This window comes from Homo sapiens, chromosome 2, assembly GCF_000001405.40.
Source record: "Homo sapiens chromosome 2, GRCh38.p14 Primary Assembly".
NCBI classification, from domain to species: Eukaryota; Metazoa; Chordata; class Mammalia; order Primates; family Hominidae; genus Homo; species Homo sapiens.
This window is the reverse complement of record NC_000002.12, coordinates 6887588-6898568: the sequence shown is the minus strand read 5'-3', so window position 1 is coordinate 6898568 and position 10981 is coordinate 6887588. Positions and strand designations below refer to the sequence as shown.

The 10981-nt window shown below is 39.7% G+C and overlaps 1 protein-coding gene across 2 annotated transcripts in view; it reads right to left on the bottom strand.

Annotated features, from left to right (window-relative positions):
- Positions 1 to 329: 329 nt before the first annotated feature.
- Positions 330 to 10981, bottom strand: part of RSAD2 (radical S-adenosyl methionine domain containing 2) — a 32355-nt gene continuing 21703 nt past the window's right edge. For both annotated transcript variants that reach the window (NM_001410702.1, NM_080657.5), the window contains exons 4-6: positions 8244 to 8393; positions 4866 to 4898; positions 330 to 2791 (exon numbers count right to left, since the gene is read on the bottom strand). In NM_001410702.1, the coding sequence (NP_001397631.1) occupies positions 2627 to 2791; positions 4866 to 4898; positions 8244 to 8393 (348 nt within the window). In that variant the 3' untranslated portion in view covers positions 330 to 2626. The remainder of the gene's footprint in view (positions 2792 to 4865; positions 4899 to 8243; positions 8394 to 10981) is intronic.

Here is a 10981-nt window from a genome sequence, read left to right as displayed (position 1 = left end):
AAAGAAAGAATTAAATGCAACATAAAATATCTTCCCTTAACACATAAGATACCTCCGTGAAATTGTTCCTTGCTTTCCCAATTAAATGTGTTTTACAAAACTAACACTCACATTTAAAACTGAAAACATAAAGCAAAACACTATATAGGCTGAATTTGAATTTACTCTAATGTTAGAAGTCCTTATTTCTCCCCTTTAAGAGAAATTAACATTTGAATATTTTAAACATTAAGGCCTTGCAAATCCTGACAGTGCATTAGGTGGTGGTGGTGGGGGTGGGGGTGGTGTGGGCGTGGCCTGTGAATAATGGTGGATAAAACAGCTGAAAATGTATTTAACATAGCTTATAGTTTTATTTCACTTTACATTACATTCCTCTTTGGGGAAAGAAAAATACAGTTTCCCTCAGCTAGAAAAAAATTCATTCCAACTCAGAAGATTCAAACTTCAAATTCAGATTTGGTTTCAAATAACACTGATTGAATACCTGCTGTATATCAAACAGTGTCCTTGGGCTTTCACATATGTGACCTTTCTTAGTTGAACTCTCTTGCTTTTTTTTTTTTTTTTTTTTGAGACGGAGTCTTGCTCTGTCATCCAGGCTGGAGTGCAGTGGCGCTATCTTGGCTCTGTAACCTCTGCCTTCAGGGTTCAAGCAATCCTCCTGCCTCAGCCTCTTGAGTAGCTGGAATTACAAGTGTACGCCACCATGCCTGGCTAATTTTTGTATTTTTAGTGGAGACGGGGTTTCACCATGTTGGCCAGGCTGTTCTCGAACTCCTGACCTCGTGATCCACCCACATTGTCCTCCCAAGTGCTGGGATTACAGGCGTGAGCCACTGTGCCATGAGGATTAGTAAAGTGCACTCATGTTAAGTAAAAAATTTGTTTTATGTTTATGCTGATTATATGAAGGTCATCATAGCTTAGACACAATCAAAACCCATGGGGAACATCTTTAGAATTCATTTTTCTCTTTTCTTACAAAAAAAGTAAATAGGTAAAATGGAAAATAGAAGACAACCTATCCTATCCTGGATGAGACACACACATATTTAAATTGAATTATAGACTTAAAATTTAAGTAGGAATATTTTTTTTCCTGAGAAACAAAGTCACAAAAACCAAAACTTTCAGAATCACCAAGTCTTGAAAATAGATTATGAAGCAGACTTTTTGGATGGTGCTTAATGACATCAGGCGACATTTAAATGCCACCTAGTGAGGAACACTGAAATTGCAGCTAAATTAAAATGACCTTTTATTTGCCTGGACAACAAAAATTTTCCATGATTTTGCTTTTTTGAAACAATGATAAGAAATTTTTTTTTAGGCAATAAGATACTAAGTTGTATCAACAAACTGCATGGGATATTTCCACAAGGAGAGGATTTTGTTCCCTGATCTAGTTTACGTGACATTTTCCCTTATGCTTGCTTTCTCTGAGCTGACTCTTCTTAAACTGACCTAGATGGTACCCTATTTCAACTGACTCAGAGTTCATTCAAAAATATGATATGGTGACTTGGCTTCACTGACATGAAATCCAGGCACTCTCTCTACTCTTGCTCACATTCTTCCTTGCCCAAGGTTCCAGCGTGATTTTAGGATATCTTATGCCAACCCAGTGTGCCGTCACTTCTCAGAGATGTAGGGCCAACCAGCTACTCAACTACACTCCTATTCTTTTGCTTGACAGCCTCATGTGGCCAGATGATAGGCGAACAAAGCAATGCAAGCACTGCCTCCATGTCAACTCCATCATCAAATGGAAAGCGTATCTTTGTTTTGCTCAGGATCTTTGAAGAGAAAGGGACACAACAGGTACCACACACATAGGTAGCCAGCATTCATGGAACAGCCACCGTGGGCTGGGCTGCACCACACCGTCTTTCCATGTGTTATCTCTTTCTAGAGACTTCTTGAAAATTGGTAGGATTATCATATCATATGTTCTTGGAAACATCTGTTGACTATTTCTGTACATCACAGTAAAAAGTACAAGACTGCAATGGCATAAAGGCAAAAAAAAAAAAGCATTATAACCAGCAGAAATAATTGAGGCAGATACTTTGTAATGTCTCAGATGTGAAAACTGGTTATCTGGATATTTGGCAAAAAATACTGACTCTGTCAAATGAACAAACCTGGAACAAGAAATAGTTTCAAAATGGAAATATAGAAATCGCAGTAAACATTGTTTTAAAAAATCAAATCCAAATTAAATTTTGCCCCCACAGATATCACTAGAGCTTATTTCTTACAAACGCATCATTGAGCTAAATGTCAGGTCCTGTGTATAGGGGCCTTATCTAAGCATTTTTGGGGTCATTATTCCTGTGTGTATTCCTTCTTTTTAGCTAAAACAAACTCAAAAACAGAAGTGCTGTTTCAATAACAACAAGGTTATAAGCCAATGAAGTAAAGTTAATGGTTTTCCATTGTCTCAGGATTTGCTATCCAAGTTATTCGTGTGTTCAGTGACCACAGGTAATCAGATGCCACGTGCAGCAGAAAATCAGGTTTTCAGCCACTGGGAAATACCAACGGGATAGTATTGCAGACAATGGCAGTTACTCTAGGAGTTTTCCCACTGGTGTGTTGAAGTCTCGTTCCACTTTCCGCTCTACCAATCCAGCTTCAGATCAGCCTTACTCCATATGTATTTTCCTCCTCGCTTCAGAAACATCTTTTCATCAAATCCACTGAATTTTATAGCTTCTTCTACACCAACATCCAGGATGGACTTGGAAGGGTCCTTCCGTCCCTTTCTACAGTTCAGAAAGCGCATCTAGAAAATTCATAACAGAAACTGGTATATTTCCATGTGATGAATCCTGTAAAACTCAATCTAGACTATTAATCCCAAATAGCTTTTGATATTCCAGTCATGTCGACAGGTATCTTTTGAAATCTGTGGCTGATATTGAACCCCTTGGACCCCATCTCTCTACTCAACCAGCTCATGGTCTGGTGGAAGAGGCTGGGCTAAGTACAGTAGACACCTAAGCGCACAATAAACAGAATGATATGCGCCCCGCATGGGCAGATGTAGTTCCACTGGGGGAAGGGGTAATCAGGAGAGGCTTGCCCCAAATGCTAACATCTGAATTATGTGTTGAGATTTTAAATTGGAGGGAATGGTATCATAAAAGCACAGAAGTGTGATATAGCATGATGTACTGGGGAAATGGAGGTAGACGGTGTTTCTGGAATAGTAATGATGTGCATGCATCCGTGCATGCATGCATATATGTAAATATTAATAAAGGCTTGTTTTGAGAAACGGAGAGAGGATGAAAAGAAAGGTGCTGCTGAGGCAGGCAGGTGCCAGATCAAGAGGAGTCTTCCATGGCAGGTGCCAGATCAAGAAGAGTCTTCCATGACCTGCGAAGGCTCTTTGTTTTAATCTTATTCCATCCATTTTCATTTGTTTTAGTCTGTCCTATTCTACTCTGTAGGCAGAAACGATTTCTTCACACTCCTTACGACCTACACTGAGTGTTTCATAGGAGCTCAAGTAATACTTATTGAAGCAAAATGTTATTCAATTGGTAAAAGCAAATTTTGGTTCAACGATGTGTTTTCCAAATATGTGGAGACCAGTGAGTTTGTTGAGGGATGCTGGTCAAAATCACTAGACAATCATAATAATTTCCACTCCAAAAATAAATTGTTTGAATTTTCCTCTCTACCTTGGACCCAGAAACTAAATGTTTTCCTTATCACCTTTTCCCTTATGCTCTATTAAGAAAGCTTATATTGTTAAGAAATGAAATGGGTATAAACAATGATTGGTTAACTTGAAAATAACAAAATACCAGCTGGACATGGGGGCCCACACCTGGAATCCCAGCATCTGGGGAGGCCCAAGTGTTAGAGGCCAGCATGGGCAACATGGCAAAATCCAATCTCTACAAAAAATACATAAAAATCTAGCTGGGTGTGGTAGTGCACATCTGTAGTACCAGCTACCTGGGAGGCTGAGGCAGAAGGATCACCTGAGCCCAGGTGGCTGAGGCTGCAGTGAGCCAAGATTGTGCCATTGCCCTCTAGCCTGGGTGACAGGAAAACCTATCTCAGAAAAAAAAAGAAAAGAAAGAAAGAAAAGCAAACATCAAAAGTGACAGTAAGTATTTCTCCAAAAAACAAATCCAATTTAAATATGGAATTCAAGGTTGTTGGAGCTCATTTCTTTAAAATATGTCTTCAAATGGAATTATTTGTCCTTTGCTAGGAAGAGTGGCAATGGTTATAGATCTAGAAAAAAAAAGACAGAGGAAAGGGGAAAGTGATTTGTTTTTCAGTTTTGAGAAGGGTAGGTTTCCCTCTTCCTTTGGAAGGCAGTGGGGGTAGGAATAATATCAGTGGTGTTTGGAGCAGAAACATAAGCCTCTCCTTAGGAAAGCCAAGGTTTATCAATCAGAAGACAAGCTGGCTGTGCCTGGTTTGTCCAAGATAATGAGAAGAGTGATATGGCCTTCCTTCAAAGTAGGCTGGATGCCCTATCTCAGGAGAGCCTCCAGCCCAGGACTACATAACAGATGACTCTGTTGTGTGTGATAACGGGTTCAATGTGACATCCACGGATGCATAGTTACATGGCAGACAATATCATATGGTGCTCAGTGCAAATCAGTGCTGGGACCTGGGTTGAAGCTTATTCTGTTCCAGTGTTTAGCTCCACATTTGACCCTGTGAAGTGAGGGCTCTGGCATAATCATAATCACTGACTATCAAACTGTGAAGTGCTAATTAAGAAGGACAAATAGGTACTAGATAGTTATGCTCATGGAACTCAACTCTGCCATTACTGCTAATTAATTAATTAAGTTTTAATTTTATAACTCATTGGAAATACTCACATATTCATCCAGAATAAGGTAGGAGTCTTTCATCTGCAAAGGAGAAGTTAATACAAATTTAGTTTCAGGTGCATTTCTCAGTATGTGAGCTCAATTGTCCACCTGTAGTGTTTGCATTGTATTGTTTTGGATCCAGCATTTCTCATTTCCCTTGAGTTGCCTTTGGCATGGCCCTCACAAGACAAGGCTCTGTTTGTGTGCATTCGGTTTTCAACAGATCACAGCAGGCCTGGATTCTCTGCTCTTTGCTGAAAAGGTCACACATCAGAACCTTCATCCTGAAGGCTTCCCTGACATTGAACCCCAAGGCAATTTCCCCAACCCTTCACACTTTGGGAGAGCCCTTTTCTTCTTTACATGATATTTCTGATGACTGTGTCCACCATGTATCTAATTTCTCCCTTTTCAATGTATAAAGCAGAACTCTCTTGAATGCTATTTTTTTGGAGCTAAAGGGTCGATTTACCTGAGGATTTTATTATTACCCTAACATTACTTACAAACAGTTATGACTTCTATAGGTATATAGAAGCTGTACCTGCACTGTTGATGGGAAGGTATTCCTTCTATACCTATTCTTGTAGATAGGGGTCTGTAAAATGTTTTCTGTAAAGGGCCAGATAGCAAATATTTTCTGCTTAGCAGGCCACACAGTCTGTCACAACTAATCAACTGTGCTTTGCAGCCCAAAATCCACCACAGATGATACATAAGAAAAATAGCTTGGCTGAGCTCCACTGAAACTTAATTTATGGACCCAGAAAACCAGCTTTTATATAATGTTCACAGGGCACAAATACGATTCTTGTTTTGATGTTTTCCCTCATCAAGTCTTAACTTGCATCCTGTACTACAACAGGTGGCAGGCCAGACCCATCCCTGGGGCCAGCATTTGCCAACTCCTAGGAAGGGATGGGAGCAGACCTGCTATTGAATGTCTAGTGGGGTACCAGTAGCATCAGCATCATCTGGGAACTAGTTCAAGGTGCAGAGTGGTGGGCCAACCTCAGACCCACTGAGTAGAGGTCTGCCCTTTCACAAGATCCCAGGTGATTTGATGAAGTTTGAAACAAACTGGCTAAAAGGTTTGTGGGCTTTGGGGTCATCAAAATTCAGATTTTGCCCCTGATACAAGTCAGGTAAATGAGTACCTACCACTCGGCCTCTTGATGTATACAATGGGGATGATACAACCTGGCTCATGAAGCATTAGTGAAAATGGCAATGAGTCAAAGGGTTAACAGTCCCTCTTACAAAGGAGGTACTCAACCAAATTTTCTTTGATGTCATATTAACTATTAAGATGGAGTTTTAAAAAATTAAATAAAATAGTGCATAGAGGAAAACCTCCTCTACCCCCTTTCTCTTCTTTTTGATGGTCATCCTGTCCTTCATTCTGAGATTTTCTTGTTCATGTTCACTTCAACATTACCTTTTAAACTTGAACCATTTACCTAGAGCCTCAGAAGTCTAAAGCATAAGGAATGAATGTCTGCTCTTTGAGTTCCTAGCATTACTTAAACATATGGGGTAGAGATTTTCCTGTATATGTATTTTTGGATGGCAGATGGAGAAGCTGTTTTTAAAATAATAAAACTAATACTTAAGTTACAAAATTTTAAAGTTCAAAAAGTTATAAAGGTGAATAAAACTACTTATAATTCCACTACTCCAAGATAACCAAAGGAATATGTAGAGATACTTTTTTTTACACATCAGGATTAAACTTCAAATTAATTTTGCATACTGTTTTTTATCTGTACCTACTATTATATTATCAGAATTTCTCCTTGTCACTTAAAAATTTTTGGAATATGCTTGTTAGTCAGTGTAACATTTCATTCTGTGAACCTACAGACTTACTCATTCTCTGTATGCTGAATGACAGGCTATCTTTATTTTTTTTTGGTATTATTCTTTTTGTTTGTTTGTTTGTTTGAGACAGAGTCTCGCTCTGTCGCCCAGGCTGGACTGCAGTGAGCGATCTCCGCTCATTGCAAGCTCCGCCTCCCGGGTTCACACCATTCTCCTGCCTCAGCCTCTCGAGTAGCTGGGACTACAGGCGCCCGCAACCACGCCCGGCTAATTTTTTGTATTTTCAGTAGAGATGGGGTTTCACTGTGTTAGCCAGGATGGTCTCGATTTCCTGACCTCGTGATCCGCCCATCTCAGCCCCCCAAAGTGCTGGGATTACAGGCGTGAGCCACCGCGCCCGGCCGGTATTATTCTTAATACTGCAGTAACATATCTTTACATAAGTACTTCTCTAGTTCTGTGAATATTTCTCTTGTTTTAAGGTAGAATTTCTAAATTCAAATATGGGCTATTTTAAAGGTTATAAAGTTAGCAATTCGTTTTCTAGGAAAGTTGCAATAATTTATACTCTTGCTAACAATATGAACTTGCCTCTCTTACTGCAACTTTATGCTTCATATTTTATTTTGTATTTCCTTGAATATAGACAATATCAAATACTCTTAAAATGTTTATTCACCATTTGTTTTTTTTCTGTAAATTATCTATTTATGCCCATTGGATGTTTTGCTTTTTTTGGTGTTCATAGATTCTTATTGATTTAAATAACTTTATATATAATACTTTATTTTATACAATTCAGTATATCATGTTAACATATTTCACTTTTAATTTTATGATATGTGTGACATATTTTTAATTTTATGGATTCAATTATACTATCATAATTTTTTTAAAGTTTGTATCTTTCATTAATAAGGAGGTTCCTTATTAATGGATTTTTTTTCCTGTAGCTTCTGAGAACACATTTTTAGATACCCGGCTTCTAGTTATACCTGAAGCTCCACAGTGTAGACATGTTTTGGCCAACCTTGTTTTATCGGTGTATGAAATTTGTGCTAATAGGATGGATCCAATTGTCATTACATTAGAAAACTAAATGGGAAACATTTCTTCTACATTCTGTGCAACATAACAAAATTATACATAGAGATTATTCAACTAAATAAAGTGATAATGTTGATATCAACAGAGTGGCGTTCGTTAGTTCTTTCTATGTTTAGGGGTTATGTCATGCATGTATGACACATAGGGACATTATACTTATATGAATCATATAGCAAGAATATCTACATGAATCTATATACAGTTGTATCATCTGCAAAGTACCACTCTATCCATCGTGGATAGAGAAACTGAAGCTCTCTAAAGACCCTGCAGCTGGGAGGTGGCAGAGTCAATGGCAGCCCTCAGCCCTATCTGCCCTGACATGGCATTCCTCCCATTTCTCACCACCGAACCCTCTAAAATAACAATGTGTGGGGTCCTTGGCTGAGAGACTTCCCTTTTGGGAATCAATCTGAATGTATGATGACAAAGAAAACAACTTTTGCTTTATACAACCTTCTGGTTAGATTCAGGCACCAAGCAGGACACTTCTTTGTGGCGCTCCAAGAATCTTTCAAATTCTTCATCACCAATAACAAATCTTTCTGCTTCTCTTAGAGCATCTTCTCCACAATTCTCACCCTCAATTAAGAGGCACTGGAACACCTGAAAGGCAATGGTAGTGTTTGCTTTGCAGAGAGCTTTCCATCGTGTTTTCCCCCAAACCTCACTCCCCCTTTTCAAGCTTCATCTCTTCTGAGCAAAGAGACTCTACGAGCTGAGGAACATTCTAGAAAGATATTACTTTGGGGAAATGAAAGCTAGCCCTGAAATTTAGGAATATGGTGTCAGAAGCACAAACATTATTAAAATATAAACTTTCAAAAACTTGTCTAGATTATGTTTGATTGAGTCATAAATTTTCAGACAACAAAATAATAGGTACTTATTGAAAAAATATAAACTATAAAAGAGCATAAAAATAAATCATGTGTAATCCCATAACCCAGAAAAACACATTTTAAAAACATTGTTTTCTCTGCTGATTTTTAATATATTCTTATGAAGGCCTCTAGCATATGTCTGTTTTTCATGTAAGACCTAAGAACAGTTTTTCAAAATCATTAATATTCTCTTTCAACAGTCTTTTAAGTAAACAAATGTGTGTGTAAGAGTGTGGACAGTGTATTATTCTATACATACTACCATCATTTGAAAATAAAAGTCAGTCCTAGAAAAGGCAAGAAGTGAAGAGACTTGCCCAAGGTGACAAAGGGTGACAGCCAACCCAACACAGAGGCAGGACAAACCCAGATCTAAAGGGTTTCCATGGAAAGGATGATTCTACACAGAATTTCACTAATATCATCGTCTGAACCACTCAGATGCCACTATAGTCAGATGAGAAGAAATTGTCAACACTTCATGTTGCCTTTTTTGCTCACTCTTTATTTTTCCTCTTCTTTTTTGCTTCTCGGTCTTTTGATATCTGCCTCCACTGGCCCCTGGTCATAGGATAATTTTGCTATTTGCTTTCATGGTGTCTTCCTTAATAGACTGTGAGCATCTTGGGAGGGGTTGTCACCCATCCTCATGCCCCATCCAGGCTCAGGGTAAGGAGAGGCCTGGCAGGGAGGGAGTGCCCTTCCATGTAGGTTTGAATCATGAGCAGACTTGACTATCAAAGAAGACATACAGCACAGGCATTTTTTTCCAGGGACTTTGACTCCAGAATCAGCCAGCTAGACTGGAAGGGCTTCTGCAGGAGAAAAGCAAGCCGTAGGAGCTGGAAGGGGAACAATATTGAGGGTGTGGGATTGGGCATGGGGGAGTAGAAGGAGCCCTCTCCTCCCATGCTGCTGGAGCAAGCCTACAGGTCACAACAAAGCCTCCCAGTGAGTAATCACGCATGCTCATTGCTGTTGTCCCGGGGACACGGCTGGTGACACCTTCCAGCCCACAGCCTCACAGTGGAGGAGGCAGCCTCAGGAAACTAGGTTCTGAGTGCAATGTAAGATTGGACTAAGAACAGGCACCTGTTCCAGAAGCATCAATTTACATCAATTGGAAGCCTGCATACATCAATAATCTGGTTTTCCAAACAGGCAGAAACTAGCCTTCCACCAAAAGAGTCAGGATCTTGATGGCAAATCTACAGTGAATCAGATGAATGGAAGCCAGTGTGGGAGTCAAAATATCTGAGAGAAAGGCCATGAGATAGGAGAAAACCAAGCTGTGGGGAAAAAATATTTACACATCTGAAAAAAGGACACCAAAAGAGAACAATGAGGAAGACAGTAACAGGAAACATAGGGAAGACGAGAGAGGTGGGTACAGGAGAGGGGCAGGCAGGAAAGTCAACATGTCTAAGGCAGCTTAGCCCTCCAGCTGGAGCCTCTGCCTTCCTGGTGGATCATGTCCCTGTTTTTCCTATCAGACCTCTCTCTTTAGCTTTTCTCCAGTTCCTTCTAGACCTGGGAATGTGGCTGATAATTCATATCCTTATATATGTAACCAAAAGTTCAAGTTCAACATACCTATTAGCAATTTTTGAAAGTAGCATCTCCAGCTTCCCCTAACCCATTTCCACATATTACAGGACAGCTTCAGGAAAATGATAGAATATCCCTTTCCCTCTTCCCTAACTCTATTTGGAATGCTGACATGGGATTTAAAAAAACAGCCAAGGCAGCTTTGAAGGAAAAGCTGTTTTTTGTGCAGGCAAAGCCCTCTAGTCTGGATGTGCCTTTCTTCTTCAGGTCTTTGCCACCTACGAAAATTCTTTCCATTTTTCAGAGCATAGCCAAATGCTTCCTCCTATATGAAGCCTTCCACTTAAGCTCAGCCTGTTTTGCCATTTCACGATATGGTAGCACACATAGCTTTCTATCATGTGACTTTTCCCACATCTCTTTTTGTGTGTTTGTGCTAGCACTGAGCTCTGCATCTTATCTTTCATTGCACCTGGACTGCTTGTTAGAAATACACGTTTGTGCAAGCCCTCCCTGCTATGCTTACCTTCACCACAGGCCCTGTTTCAGGGCAGCAGATATGAGGCCCAAGAAGCTGCTTTTTAAACAGCCTCCTGATTTGCTTCTGACGAGCAGTCAAAGGTAGAAAACTGGGATTTTAGTCATGATGTCTGCACAGAGTGGGAGCTGCATATGTGGAGTTGGCTTTTAGTAGCTGGTAGTGGGGCCAGCCCTAAAGCATGAATCTGGGAATAAAGGTCCCATTTTGCTACAACTTGGGGA